This window comes from Homo sapiens, chromosome 5 (assembly GCF_000001405.40).
Source record: "Homo sapiens chromosome 5, GRCh38.p14 Primary Assembly".
Taxonomy (NCBI): Eukaryota; Metazoa; Chordata; class Mammalia; order Primates; family Hominidae; genus Homo; species Homo sapiens.
The window spans coordinates 172,476,453-172,491,906 of record NC_000005.10 but is presented as its reverse complement, the minus strand read 5'-3'; the positions used below and the strand labels follow the sequence as shown (position 1 = coordinate 172,491,906).

The 15,454-nt window shown below is 49.5% G+C and overlaps 1 long non-coding RNA gene across 2 annotated transcripts in view, besides 3 other annotated features; it reads right to left on the bottom strand.

The window, feature by feature from the left end:
- Nucleotides 1-12,856, bottom strand: part of LOC105377727 (uncharacterized) — a 57,398-nt gene extending 44,542 nt beyond the window's left edge. Inside the window, exon 1 of one of the 2 annotated variants that reach the window (XR_941225.3) lies at nt 12,303-12,856. This is a non-coding gene — a long non-coding RNA (uncharacterized LOC105377727). The other variant, XR_001742994.2, reaches the window with a different exon arrangement.
- Nucleotides 6,989-7,490: an enhancer, noted in NCBI's record as "H3K4me1 hESC enhancer chr5:171911421-171911922 (GRCh37/hg19 assembly coordinates)". NCBI's record gives its function as "activates a minimal SCP1, AML or CMV promoter by ChIP-STARR-seq in primed H9 embryonic stem cells {active_cell/tissue: H9 hESC(primed)}" and the evidence as "EXISTENCE:reporter gene assay evidence [ECO:0000049][PMID:30033119]".
- Nucleotides 11,583-12,202: an enhancer, noted in NCBI's record as "H3K27ac-H3K4me1 hESC enhancer chr5:171906709-171907328 (GRCh37/hg19 assembly coordinates)". NCBI's record gives its function as "activates a minimal SCP1, AML or CMV promoter by ChIP-STARR-seq in naive H9 embryonic stem cells {active_cell/tissue: H9 hESC(naive)}" and the evidence as "EXISTENCE:reporter gene assay evidence [ECO:0000049][PMID:30033119]".
- Nucleotides 12,203-12,824: an enhancer, noted in NCBI's record as "H3K27ac-H3K4me1 hESC enhancer chr5:171906087-171906708 (GRCh37/hg19 assembly coordinates)". NCBI's record gives its function as "activates a minimal SCP1, AML or CMV promoter by ChIP-STARR-seq in naive H9 embryonic stem cells {active_cell/tissue: H9 hESC(naive)}" and the evidence as "EXISTENCE:reporter gene assay evidence [ECO:0000049][PMID:30033119]".

The window sequence follows — 15,454 nt, the reverse complement described above, 5'->3', positions numbered from 1 at the left end:
CTGACTCCCCTTCAGATGAGCACATGCCTTTCATTCATCCCTAGTTTGGCCATTTCATAGCAGTGAGACCTTGGAAAAGTCACTTCTCCCTGCCTCTCAGTGTTCTTATTCATACAGTGTGGCTAACCACCCCTTACGTGCAAGAGTGTCACCACTGCAGGACGCAGCTGTGGGAAGAAAGGCCCTGTGCTGTGTACAGCAGGTCCTGCTTGCCCCGCCTTCAGTGCAGATCCTCTAGGAACAGGTGACACGTGTCACCTCAACGCTTTTGCTTAGCTCGGGGAGGGAACCTGTATAGAAGGGCTTCTCACCATCACCCCACCCTGCTCCCCAGCTGGGCTTTTTGCACGGGTTCCTGCAGACCTCATGAATAACTGATGATGCGTGGGTCCCTTTCTGATCTTCTCATAGTCCCTAGGGAAGAAAAGAAGTCTCTGTCTTGTTTTGATCCCTTGACTTGGCCTCCCTGTCTGCAGGTGAGTCACCCTGTCTTCATCCTGCAGCTGCTCCCAGCAGATGACCCGAGGCCTCCCCTTGGAACCCCAGAAGCAGGGCCGGGAAAAGAGCCTCCCCAGAGTGTGGGTGGCCAGTAGGCAGCCGGGCCTCAGGAGCAGCATGCCCAAGCTGGCCTGGCATTCTAGAAGCAATTCCTGCTCACCTGCAGATGCCAGGCAGAATGCCCATTCCTTCCCAGGCACCCTCAGGCCCAGTCCTGAGACTAAGCCAGGAGCTACCTGAGGAAACACATGTGCCTAAGGATGGACCGTCTGTGCCCCTGTGGGGAGCCATGCACAGTTCCTGGGTACTGACCAGGGACAGCCACCGTGTTGGACGCTTCACATCTTGTCTCATTCCTTCCCCCAAGCCCCCTAGAGAAGCAGGGTGGTTGGTCTCATTACACACCTGAGGAGGCAACAGAGAGGTGAAGTAACTTGCCTAAAGTCACACAGCTGGCAAGTGGCAGATCTCTCTGGCTCCATATCAGCAGGGAGACATGCCACACATTTCGGGAGAGCTTCTGGGACTGCCCACTCTATCAGGCCAGGGCCTAGAGTCATGCTTGACTAGCGAGGGCCCAGCTAGTTCCTTGACAGCCCCCACCACCCACCCCAGGACACAGAAGAGACATTGCAGGAATGACCCCCGCCATGGCCCATACTTCACCCACCTCCACTTAGGAGCATTTATTTACCCCTGCCTCTTGCAATGAATCACACGCCTGGCTGATCACTCCCCTAAGCTGAGCACTCCCCTGGGAGTCAAAACCCCTGAATTCTGCCATCAGCTCTGGCCCCGAGCTGCTGTGTGACCTGGACAAGTCATAACTTTCCTGTTTCCTCGCTCATAAAATGATAGATTTTGATATTCTCTCTTGGGAAATCTAGGTTCTAAAAGCAACAATCCCCGTGGGGTGATTTTTATTTTTATCTTTTTTGTTGTTGTTTGTTGTTGAGATGGAGTCTTGCTCTCTTTGCCTAGGCTGGAGTGCAGTGGCACAATCTCGGCTCACTGCAACCTCCGCCTCCCGGGTTCAAGTGATTCTCCTGCCTCAGCCTCCCAAGTAGCTGGGATTACAGGCGCCGCCCTCATGCCCAGCTAATTTTTTTAATTTTAGTAGAGACGGGGTTTCACCATGTTGGCCAGGCTGGTCTCGAACTCCTGATCTCAAGTGATCCGCCTGCCTCGGCCTCCTAAAGTGCTTGGAATACAGCCATGAGCCACCACACCCGGCCACCACAGGGTGATATTTAAAGCACTGGGGTAGTTGCACCTCTCCCCCCAGGTCAGGTAGCCCGACTGTGGGGTGCGTGTGGACGCAGGAGCCTCCATCCTCACCTATGATCCGACACCCGCTTCATCTTCCAACCTCGCGGGCACACGGAGAAGGCTCCATGTTCCTGTTGCCTCAGGGGCGCAGGGCTTTTGCCGCCCACTGTCCTTGAGGCAGTCAGGGAAATTGACTGACCCCACTCCACGGTGGACTTGTGACTGGCCTGGCCACCTCAAGTGCCTATGCCCCAGCTGAGCTGGCCCGCTCCAGGGAGAGCCTGTGACCCTAGATGACCCATCAGAAGGAAACTCCAGGCTTTGCTGGGAATGCTGCAGAGAGGTGCCTGTTCTTCCCACTCGATGCGAATGAAGGAAGATGTAGCTCTGGGTGCTGCTGGCAGCTGTCTTGGGACCAGAGGGAAGGTCAACCCAACCACAGGGGCCCCGCTGAAGAAGCCAACCCCTGAAATGGAGAGAAACTGAGAAGTCCTGGAGGATGCTGCCTTGGACAGCAGAGCACATGAGCTTTTACTCTGTCATTTGCAACCAAAGAACCCTGATACTGACTGATATGGTTGGGATTTGTGTCCCCGCCCAAATCTCATGTTAAACTGTAATCCCCAATGTTGGAGGAGGGGCCTGGTGTGAGGTGATTGGATCATGCGGGTGGATTCCCCCTTGCTGTTCTCATGATAGTGAGTGAGTTCTCATGAGATCTGGTTGTTTACAAGTGTGCGGTACCTCCCCTTCCCTATCTTCCTCCTGCTCCGGCCCTAGGATGATGCACCTCCTTCCTCTTCACCTTCTGCCATGATTATAAGTTTCCTGAGGCCTCCCCCTAGCCATGCTTTCTGTACAGCCTGCAGAACCGTGAGCCAATTAAACCTCTTCTCTTTATAAATTACCCAGTTTCATGTATTTCTTTATAGCAGTGCGAAAATGGACTAAGACACATGCAGATGATCAACACATATGAATCAATGAAGTTTATTCCAGAACTCAATACCTCCATCTTACATGTGGTAGGGCCCTTGAAGAGCAGGTGAGCTGAGGCTGGCTAAGATCCTGCAGTGTGCTCAGGACACAGCCTGCTACTGCCAGGTAGGAAACATGAAGTGCTCAGAGTCAGGAAGTGTTGAGCCCAGACTGGGGCCCACGCTGACCTGAGCATAATTCCACAGAAGCACGGGAAGTGGGTTTTCCTATCTCGTTTGGTCAAGAGGCCTATTCATATCTAAAGATGGTCTCTTTTTCCCTTCCAGACTGGTCACCAGTTCTACTTTTTCCACATGGTTGGGATGTCTGATAGACTTCTGTTGGGGAGGGCATCAGCAGCTTCCCAGTGGCTGTGATCCAAGCCCCCAACATGGGCCTCCCCACTGAGGACCCTCGAAGGCCCACTCCCACATCACAGCTCGCCATTTCTTCCCAAGGGAAGTTCTGAGGAGTCCCAGCCCTGCCCTCTCCCCTCTGGATTTCCACAAAACCTTCTCCTCCCGCTTCTCTTCTCTCTGGGGCCACACGGCCACCCAACAAGGCTCCGATCTCCAGGGCTGTCCCTCCCAGGAGTGCCTCTGATTGGCCACTCCCCTCTCGGCCGTACCCCCAAGCCTCCCGTCTGAGGCACTGTTAGGAACAGAGGCTCGTTCAGGCGTCTGACACCGCAACAGAGTGCCAGTCACGAGGCCATGCCTGGAGATGGAAGCCAGGCAGACTGGGGACCTCGCAGACACCTGCCATGCACCAGGCAGGGGGAAACCATGAGGAACAGGACAAAGATGGAATCACCACGCGGAGTTTACAGCCCAGCAACCGCAAACTGTCATCACCCCATGCATACAACTGGCTGCGGTCATGTTTAACCCTCCTCCACACACACCACCATCACAGAGTTCTATGAGTCCAAGTAACTCCATATAAACACCTAGGAAAAGGTTTGGAAGGATCTGCACCAAACTGTTAACAGTGGTTACCCCTGGAGGGGGGGGCTGTTCAAAGCGACTTTAGCCCATCTACGGTGCTTGCTTTTCTTCCTGAACTCCCTTTCCCATCGTGGAGAATGTATTCTTATTTTATTCATGCTCCTAAAAATTAATTTTGAAAAACTAGCAAATATGCAAACATTGTTAAATAATGAAAACTGTGCGTTTTTCTGGGAAGAGCGTGTCCAGGGTGCTGACTGCTTATCTCAAGACAAAGAGTGGGAAGTGACGAAGCGGAAGCACCCCACGCTCTGAAGAGGGACGCAGGGGCTCCATCCCTACCTCTGATCGCTTCTCTGGGAGGTGATGCACCCCCACAGGCCTTGCCCCCAGGGCTCGGGAATTTCCTGGAAGCCTGAGGCATCATGAGAAAAAGCATCTTCTCATGGCCTTCCTTCGGGCAGAAGGAGTTGAGTGAATGTCTTTTAATTAGCATTTTTATCATTTTTCTGTATTTTATAAAATCCAGTGTGTGGTGGGGGAGCGGGAGCAGGGTGAGGCTTCAGAGAGGAGAGGCCAGGGTTTCACAGGGTTTGATACCCAGGAGAGAAATGCTTTCTGGACAAATCCAGCCTCAAGGCCAAACAAGCCTTTGGAAAACAATTTTTAAAAAATATTATGTATCCTGTGTTTTAACGACAAAAGTAACACATGAAAAGGTTCTCTTAACAATTGGAACAATCCTGATGAAGTGAAGGTCCCCTGCCCCACACTCCCCATCCCGTCCCCTCTGAAGGTTGACCATCCTACTCCATTTGGCTAACATCCTTCCAGAACTTTCTCAAAGCCTTGATAGCCATACCTGGACCTACTGAAATAGGAAATCTTGCTTTGCCTCTGTTTTTTAATAAGTACATGCTGTACACGTTCTCTTACAACTTCTTTTTCTCTTAACAAGTCTTAGAAATCTAAGTTGGTTCACACAGATCTTTTTTGTTTTTTTAAATATGACAAAGGACTATAGTATTAATGTGCCATACCTTATTTAATACTATTTAATACGGTATTAATAATAATTATTATTATTATAAATATAAGTATAAATAATAATATTTAATACGATTAATACTATTTAATACGGTGATTATTTAAAACAAAATGCTTCACTGATTTACAAAGAAAAGAAGCCTCTGCCCCTCCACCACACTTGCGTCTCTCACCTCAGTTTTCTCACCTGTGAAATGGGGGCATTTGCCTAAATGATCTCTATGGCCATTTGCACAGCCTGTGATTATAAACATTTTCCCTGCCCCATACAGATGCCCCTGTTGAAGTTCCCCCTGCTGTGTCTGGTTTCCTCTGGGACCCTGGCTTTCCCAAGTCTGTCTGTGAGTCAGCCGAGGACCCCTCCTCTCCTTGTCCTGCCCCCTCTGCCCTGACTTCCAAGCTCACTCCAGCAACTCTGACAAGCCTGTGACAGGAGAACACAGGCGCGCCCTCCGAGCTCCCGCAGCTGCCTTAAAATAGCAGCTTTGTCTCACTCCATGCTTTTCTGACGCAGCCACGCTTGGTCCTGTCTGGAACTGTCTGGAAACAGAGACAACGGGCCCATCACCGTCACCAACTCTCAGAACATGGAGGCCTCATACAAAGGACAAATCTTCTGCCCCAATGTCCTTTCTGATCAACGCCAAGGGGCGGGGGACTCAGGCAGAAGAGAGAGGCTGGAACAGGCCTGACTGCACGCTCCCACCTGCAGTAGGGGATGGCCAACGCTCTTGTCCTTCTGCCCTCCAAGAGGGTTGTCTAACCAAGGCACTGAGTTTAGGTTTGACTCAGCACAGCTCTGCTTCCCACGAGATAATAATATATTCTATGAGCCCATTTAGTGACACAAAAACCCCATGAGGTAGGTTCTGCTGTTGCCTCTACTTGGCAGATAAAAACACTGAAACAAGTACCCCAGGTAAACACAGCTATTCAGGGGCAGAGCCGGGCCCAGGCCCAGGCAGTCTGTACTCCAATTCACTATTCTATATGTTCTCCATAACCTTTTGGAGGGATGGAAAGGACTTTTCAAATTGAGAGTGGTGGTAATAAAAGGACTTACCTCAGAGGACCATGGGGTATGATGAAAGAGCCATTTATGGAGACTGGGTTCCAATTGCAAGCTTCTTCTCACCACAGGGCCTTTGCATATGCGGCTTCCTGTGCCTGGAACATCCTTCCCATCCTACTCACCCTTCTGCCTATCCTCCCTTTGCCTAACTTTTCCAAGGCTAACTTCCTTTTATCTTTTATGTGAGGCAGCAGCCAGAGTCACTCACTCACTCATTTCATTCATTCATTTGTTCATTCATTCACTCACTCACAAAGTATGTATTATGCACCTTCTATGTGCCTGGCATTGTGTTATTGACAAGATAGACACAGCTCCCGCCCTGGAGAGGCTTATGGACCACAGCTGATTGGAAAGTGCTCAGCCAAGAGACTGGCACATAGTAGGTCTTCAGTAAACAAATGCAGACTTGGAGTAGTTATGGCAATGCACAGTTGAGGACATGGAAGTGGGAGAACTCTGTTCCTGGGAGAGCACTCTTGTCACCTCCTCACACCCTGCTCCATGCTTCTGGGCACCGTCTTTCCAAGATGGTGAGAATGGAAACTGCCTTCCACTCCCCAAGCCATTTCACAGAAAAATTACTGCAAAACCTCCCAGATCATCAACAGGACCCAGGCTGCTCTGAGTCCTCCATGCTACAGTTGTCATAGCAGCCAACCGGGTTCTCACCCACCCCAGGATCCTATTCATTTTCTTGATTCCACCAAATTCCCTGAGGCCATTCTGTGACAAGCCCCATGCCAGGTCTCAGAGTTACAGAGGAAATTAGACACTGTCTTGAATCCAGAGACAACCCAGTAGGAAGGAGTCTCAAAGAAGATTGGTGGACTTGATCCCCCACACACATGCACACACACACGAGCATGCACACAGCACACACATGCACACACACACGAGCATTCACACGGCACACACATGCACACACGCACGAGCATGCACACGGCACACACATGCACACACGCATGAGCATGCACACAGCACACACATGCACACACACAAGCATGCACACAGCACATACATGCACACACGCACTAGCATGCACACAGCACACACATGCACATACAAGCATGCACACAGCACACACATGCACATACAAGCATGCGCTCACACACACAAGCATGCACACATGCACGAGCATGCACACAGCACACACATGCACACACGCACGAGCATGCACACAGCACACACATGCACACACACACGAGCATGCACACAGCACACACAGGCACACACACACACAAGCATGCACACAGCACACACAGGCACACACACGAGCATGCACACAGCACACACATGCACATACACACGAGCATGCATAACACAGCACACACATGCACACACGCATGAGCATGCACACAGCACACACATGCACATACAAGCATGCACTCACACACACAAGCATGCACACATGCACGAGCATGCACACAGCACACACATGCACACATGCATGAGCATGCACACAGCACACACATGCACACAGCACACACATGCACATACAAGCATGCACTCACACACGCATGCACACTCGCACGAGCATGCACACATACACACACGAGCATGCACACACACACAAGCATGCACACATGCACACTCCAGACCCCCGTGCACAAGGAAGTGGAAAATCAAGCCACTCACAAGCTTGTAGAGGGAACAGACGAACATAGATTATGAAACAATGCTCTGATGGCAATTTCAGGGGGCAGTGGAGTGCACCTCGGCAGCCACTGTTGTTTGCCAGCTGTATTAGTTATCTACTGCCACATAACAAGTTACCCCCAAACTTGGCAGCCCAAAACAATAGACGTCCGACATTTCATGTGGTTCTAAGGGTCAGGAATCCAGAAGCACTCAGCTGCGTGCCTCTTGCTCATGGTCTCTCGGAGGGGGTGGCAGTCAAGCTCTCAGCCAGGGCCACAGCCTCTGAAGGGGCTGGGGATCTGCTCCCAGGCATGCTAGTATGGCTGTGGGCTTCAGCTCCTGGCCACATGGGCCTCTCTGCTCAAGACACGGCCTCCCCCAGAATAAGCAACCCAAGGGGAAGAGAGAGCACACGAGTTAGCAAGAGAGAAGCCAAGATGGAAACCACAGTGCTTACAACCTCATCTCAAAAGCAAAATACCATCACCTCTGCCCCATGCTATTGGTCACACAAACCAACCCAGTGCAAGGTGAGAGGTAGCAATACAAGGCTGGGCATCGCAGCAGGTGGAATCGTTGGGGGCCATCCTGGCGGCCAACGACCACACTAACTAATAACCTTTCCCCCTTCTCTCTTGCTAATAAAACCCCAATTTTGATCAGATGATTCCTCTTTAGCTCCAAAGAGAGAATCTGATTGGTTTGAGTGAATCATGTGATCCCATATTCCTTATCTGGAATTAGTTTAGAATGTGCCAATGACCCAATCCTGGCCATGGAAACCTGAGGGGAAGTCTGCAGACGGGCTCCTGAGAAAGCTTCTCCTCCCCGCTATGGAAAACAAAGTACCACCCCTCTCTGGATGTCATATGCAGATTTGTCTGGAGCTGTGGCAGCCATTTTGTCATCATGAGGGGAGTCATCACCAACAACCTAGATGGCAAAGAAGAAAGACCTGGTTGTGGCTGGGTGTGGTGGCTCACGCCTGTAATCCCAGCACTTTGGGATGCTGATGCGGACTGATCACCTGAGGTCAGGAGTTCAAGACCAGCCTGGCCAACATGGTGAAAACACCATCTCTACAAAAATAGAAAAAGTAGCCAGGCATGATGGCGGGTGCCTGTAATCCCAGCTACTCAGGAGGCTGAGGTAGGAGAATCACTTGATCCTGGGAGGCAGAGGTTGCAGTGAGCCGAGATCACACCATTGCACTCCAACCTGGGGGACTAAGCAAGACTCCATCTCAAAAAAAAAAAAAAAAGAAAGACCTGGTTGTCCCTGAATCAAACAATCTTGGAACTGTCCTACCTCCAGGTTGCTTGTTAAATGAAATGATCGATTTCTCATTGCTTAAGCTTCTTTTAGTTGAGGGGTCTGTTACATACTGCCAAAAGCACACCAATAGAAACAGGCACCTCCCCAAGCATGGGGAAGTCAGGGAAGGCTTTGAGAAGAGTCATCTTTAGGTTGGGCCTTGATGAATAATTAGGAGTTCACCAGGTCAACCAGGGTGGAAAGCACTGCAGACAGTGGCAAGAGCATGACAAAGACCCAGAGGTCTGGAAGAACAGGGGCTGCCGGTTCCGGAGCGTAAGACATATGAGCTTGAGCAGCAGCGGGAAGAGGCGATGCGGGAGGGTGAGTAGGATCCGGGTCATGAGGGACCCATCAGGCAAGCAGGCAGGCTACAGTGGCCTGACTTTACCTAGAAGGTGATGGAAGCCACAAAGAGGAATGTGGTGAAGCCCTCTGGAAGGACCTCTCTGGAGGCAGCATGGAGATGCCGGGGAAGCCGGAGGCAGAAGGAAAGCAGGGCCTGGGTGTGCTGCATGCGTGGACCTGTCCCAGGCCAGCAGCGTGGCTGGCTGCCAAGAGGTGAACACCAGGCAGCACCCAGGACCCGGCTGGACGCACCTGCCCCACCACCCAAGAGGCTGAAAGGAGGGATTTCACTTGCTAGAGTGTGGCAAAGTGGGATTGCATCACGCTTTAAAACCATCCACTGGTTTCCCATCACACTAAGAGTAAAATCCAAATTCCCTCCCTGGCCTCAAAGGCCCCACATCGTATTTCCTCCACTATCCCCAGATTCTAGTACTACTCATGGCACAACAGTGGACACAGAGGAATGTCTGTTCAGCTCATGCCCACATCTTCATCTTCATGTGGAATCTGAGGCCACTCAGACAGAGAAGAAATCAGCCTCATCAGCAGGAAGATACCCATCAGTTTTCCCATCTTGCTGTTATGTCTAAACTGATCTCTGGCAGATTATATAAGAAACTTAGAGGGCAGAGACTGTGACTTTTACATGCACAGGGTCTGAGTGCAGTCCTCCAGCTAGGTATTTAACAAGCACTTGCTGGTCGTGCAAACCAATGATGATGATGATGATGATGATGATGATCAGTCTGACAATCATGGAACAGCTGGAGATTGTGAAAATACAGAAAGCTAAGGTGGGGCCCTAACCTTGAACAGTTTATAATCGAAACAGACAAGCCACACAGAATGCTGATGATAATAGCACACACAGACAAAGGGCACAGGCTCCGGAGTCAGACAGGCTTTCATTTCAAACTCCAGCTCCACTGCTTGCTGCTGTGTGACCTGGAAAAATCCTCAACCTCTCTGTGCCTCTTTGTTCTCACCTACAGATGAAGATAGTCACTGTTACCTCAAAGGGCTATAAAAGCGTGGCTCAGCACACAGTAAGTCCTCCACAAATGATCATCAGGATTACAATTATAATCCTGATTACAACAGTTATGTTGTAAAAGAAAAACCTTACCATGTGGAGCAGCCATCCCCAACCTTTTTGGCACAAGGGACTGGTTTTGTGGAAGACAAAATACACGGTCCAAAACCATGGACAGGGCGGGGAGAGCAGGGGATGGTTTTGGGATGATTCAAGCACATTACATGTATTGTGCACTTTATTTCTATTATTATTACATTGTAATGTATAATGAAATAATTACACAACTCACCATCGTGTAGAGTAGTGGGAGCCCTGAGCTTGTTTTCCTGCAACTAGACGGTCCTATCTAGGGGTGATGGGAGACAGTGACAGATCATCAGGCATTAGATTCTTATAAGGAGCCGCAACCCAGATCCCTCACATGCGCAGCTCACAATAGGTTTTGTGCTCCTATTCAAATCTAATGTTGCCACTGCTCTGACAGGAGGCAGAGTTCAAGGGTAATGTGAGCGACGGGGAGCAACTGTAAATACAGATGAAGTTTCCCTCACTCACTTACCCACTGCTCACCTCCTGCTATGCGGCCTGGTTTCTAACAGGCCACAGACCCACACCAGTCCATGGCCCCAGGGTTGGGGCCCCCTGTTTTAGAGATACATATTATAATAGTTACAAGTAAAATTGATGAAACAAGAGTGGCCAGAAGTTGAAGACATAGCTGCAAGATCAGTACATTGGACTTCAAATTATATTATTCTCTATGTTTTTATTTGTTTTTGAAATTTTTCATCATAAAAAGTATATTAGGCCAGGTGTGGAGGCTTATGCCTGTAATCTCAGCACTTTGGGAGGCTGAGGTGGGAGGACTGCTTGAGTTCAGGAGTTTGAGACCAGCCTGAGCAATATAGCAAGACCTCGTCTCTACTAAAAAAATAAAAATAAAAATAAAATTAGCCAGGCATGGTGGTGCGCATCTGCAGTCCCAGCTACTTGGGAGGCTGGGACCGGAGGATTGCTTGAGCCTGGGAGGCAGAGACTGCAGTGAGCTTGATCACACCACAGCCCTCCAGCCTGAGTGACAGAGTGAGACTCTGTCTCACCAAAAAAATAAAGAGTATATTAGCCAGGTGCAGTGGTACACACCTGTAGTCCCAGCTACTTGGGAGGCTGAGGCAGGAGAATCACTTGAAGCCAGGAGTGCGAGGCTACAGTGTATGAGGATCATGCCTGTGATTAGCCGCTGTACTCCAGCCTGGGCAACATAGCCAGATCTCATCTTTAAAAAAAAAAAAAAAAAGCATATTTAAAAAGTTCTTCAAAGAACATGTAAGAAAGATACTCTAATTTCCCTGTTTTTCAGATGAGAATATGAGTCTCAGAGAGGTTAAGTTATTTGTCCAAAGTCACACAGCTCATGTGGCAACGGAGCCCGAATTCATACCCAGGTCAACAGGACTCTAGAACCCAGACTCTAACCATAACACCAGTCATCAGGAAAAAAATTACAAGACAACCAAAAATCGGTGCACATGTTCACTGAGAGATATATTTAGTCAAACAACTAAAAAAAGAACTGCTTTTAAAGGCCCAAACTGAAATGTAAATTGAAGGGAAACTTACTTCTTTCAATGATTCACTTGGGAGGAAAAAAGAAACTCTGCTCCTCTTTACTCATTTTCTTCAGTGCCTCTTTTTCTCTAAGGATCAGAGTTAGAGAGGGTGGTAATAAACAGTAATAGCAATACATGTGTCCTATCTTGCCACAAGGCCGGCCACTCTCCCTGCGTCTTCCAGAGGCTTCCCGCACAGGCCTGGGCACAGCATGGACGCTCCACAAAAGGCTGCCAATCTAAGACTGGTGGTGGTGGGAGGGGTGCACCCCACCATGGTTCCCTGGAGCCCCACAGTCTGGGTTCAAATCCAGTTTGCCCCTTGAGCTGTGTGACCTTGAGCAAGTCACTCTCCCGCTGGGACTCTTGCAGGGCCCTGAGCACTGTGCTGGACAAGTAGGCCTCACCGAGGAAGGGTTCCCCCCACCACCACTGCTCCTCCCTCTCGCAGAAGCAAGCCTTGCTGAGTAACACGAAGCATCAATCCAGCACCCTGTGTGAAACCATCGTAAGTTGTGAATGAGTGGAAATTGACTTACTAAGGCTGGGGCTGAATCATTCCCTGCATCTTCCGCATCTGCGGGGGCTCCCGGCGCAGAAGGCAGATGAATGGGCAGGGCGTGTGTCCCTGACAGCAGCAGCTCCAGCGTCTTCAGGTGCCACACTGCCTCCAGACGGCTTCCCTTTCACGGGGAGTGCATGGCGGGAGCTCACCTGTGTGCCTGGGGCATGTTCTTTGGAAGGCGGGGTCCCCAGCAGGGTGTTGGGAATGGAGGCAGTGGTCCCAGCCATGGGCAGCTCAGAAAGATCAGCTGTCTGTCCCCTCATTTCACACGAGGAAGCAACTGATTGAGAAACAAATTAGAATCTGAAGGGTTTGCCATTCATCCAGGACTCCCTCTGTCTGTCTGTCTGTCTGTGTGCCTGAGGATCGTTTGAAGGGCGGTGACAAAGCCCTCTGGTGGCGAGTCAGCCCGCTTCTCAGGGACGTCCACTGAGCACACGAGGAATAAGAAGGCAGTGAGTGCCCCCATCTGGCAGGAGTCAAGAATGTAGGACTCCTGATAAAAGATCCTAGAGGAATGACAATAGCCCCAAGGTGACATCATAGCAGGTTTAATGAGCACCTACTGTGTGCCAGGCTCATTTCATATGCTATCTCATTTAATCCTCACAATCACCCCCACGAAGCCCCATTTTACAGAAAAGAAAACTGAGGCTCCAAGGGGTTTACTGCTCTGGCCAAGGTCACTCAGTTATTCCATAGCACAACCACAATCAAACTCCGGGTCCAGGCTTTATTTGCCAGAGGGAGAAGGAGAGACGAAAAGAATGAAAATAACATTTATTGAGCATCATCTGTGTCCCACTTCTATGGACTGAATGGTGACCCCCCAAAATTCATGTTGAATCCCTAACACCCAATGTGATGGTACTTGGAGATGGGCCTTTGGAAGGTAATGAGGGTTAGACGACATCATGAGGGCAAGGAATTAACACCCTTGTGATGGAATTAACACCCTTATAAGAAAAGATACCAGAGAGCTCCCTCTCATTCTCCATCTTGTGAGGACACAGTAAGAAGGTGGCTGTCTGCACGTCAGGAAGAGAGTCCTCACCAGGATCTGAATTGGCCAGCACCTCCAACTTGAATTTCTAGCCTCCAGAACTTTGAGAAATAAATGTCTGTTGTTCCAGTCATGCAGTCTATGGTATTTTGTTACGGCAGCCTGAGCTGATAAGACAGCAGATAGCATGGCCCTCATGATAAGAGCAGCCCACACTTACTGAGTGCTTACTGTGTGCCACGCATGCAGTGTCTGAGGGCATTACCCAAACCACTGGTTTTCATTAATCCTCACAATAACCCTGCAAAGTAAGTACAATACATATCCTGATTTAGAAATGAGACACAGGGAAGATAAGTAACCCACTCCTGATAAAAGATCCTAGAGGAATGACAATAGCCCCAAGGTGACATCATAGCAGGTTTAATGAGCACCTACTGTGTGCCAGGCTCATTTCATATGCTATCTCATTTAATCCTCACAATCACCCCCACGAAGCCCCATTTTACAGAAAAGAAAACTGAGGCTCCAAGGGGTTTACTGCTCTGGCCAAGGTCACTCAGTTATTCCATAGCACAACACAGAAGCCAGAGCCTGTGTATGTAAGGGGCAGATCCGGCAGACAGAAATTACTGGCAATGCTAAGTGTGATCATGTGGTGTGCCAGTTCAGGTCCTCCAGGAAGTGGATGCCAAGATAGGATTCAATGTGCAAGAGAAAGAGATGTATTGGTGGAAACACCTGTGTAGGACAGAGAGGGAGCAGAAGGCAGCAGGGAGAGTTTGGGTGCTGTGCACATTTAACACCTAGGAAAGGAGAGCAAGAGGGAAGGACTGGGGAGGAAGAGCGCCAGACAGCAGCAGAATTCCGGGAATGTCTTGGCCAGGCTGATAGGGAGTTCCCAAGTCAAGGCGCTGATAGAGGAATCCCACATAGGGCAGGAATGGCCTGGTTCTAGTATTCCCACTGTGTTCAGTTGTGGCTGTGTCAAGTGTGACAGCAGAGTAGACCACTGGTGGGTTAAAAGTTACGGCCACTGAACTGTCCATCAAATGTGCTTCCCACAGTGGGTCCTCTTGAAGGGAGAGCTGAACAGAGCACCTTGGTGGCTGTCATGCTTGGTGTAGGTGGCATCCACCAGACCGCCCGGCCACTCCATTGTACCCTATACCTATTGTGATTGATCTCATGCATGGGACAATTCTTTGAGACCATGTGAATATTCTATACTCCAACAACCTATCTGTCTATTGGTTTTAGCATTTACTGATATGATCTTTGAACCAATTATGGGTTGCAAGATGATGATTTTCTGATCCTTTCATGGCTTTCGAATGCATTAGTTCTGTTGTTCTGTAAGACAGAACTCCCTTCTGCCTTTTTTAGTGTCACCATAAACTCATGGAGTTTTTCATTTACTATGTGATAAGCCATTCCCATCACTCTTCTTTCAATATTTCAGTTGTTCCCGAGTAGACCATCGGAGCCTCGTCCAACAGATCCTGTGTCCTTTTATTAATAGTTTGTCCACATCAGTCTTTGAGCCCTTCCTTTTGCTCCAGACTCACCTTGTATGTTCCCTGTCCATTACTTTGAGGAGTTGGTGAGGAATGGTCTTTAGAAACCAAGATCTGGGGAAAGGTGTCCTCACTGCTGTTTTAGTTAAATTTTAATTATTAGCTTACAATGATTGTTCCAAATCAAATTCAACACCCCAGGTTTCTCCCACGCTTTCCTTATGCCATACTTTTTTTTTTTTTTTTTTTTGAGACAGAGTTTTGCTCAGTCGCCCACACTGGAGTGCAGTGGCATGATCTCGGCTCACTGCAAGCTCCGCCTCCTGGGTTCACGCCATTCTCCTGCCTCAGCCTCCCAAGTAGCTGGGATTACAGGTGCCCGCCACTACGCCCGGCTAATTTTTTTGTATTTTTAGTAGAGACGGGGTTTCACCGTGTTAGCCAGGATGGTCTCGATCTCCTAACCTCATGATCCTCCCATCTGGGCCTCCCAAAGTGCTGGGATTACAGGCGTGAGCCACCATGCCCGGCCCCCTATGCCATACTTGAACCTCTCTTCTTCCACAGTGAGAACTCTGGCTGACAGTAACATCCATATATTAACTC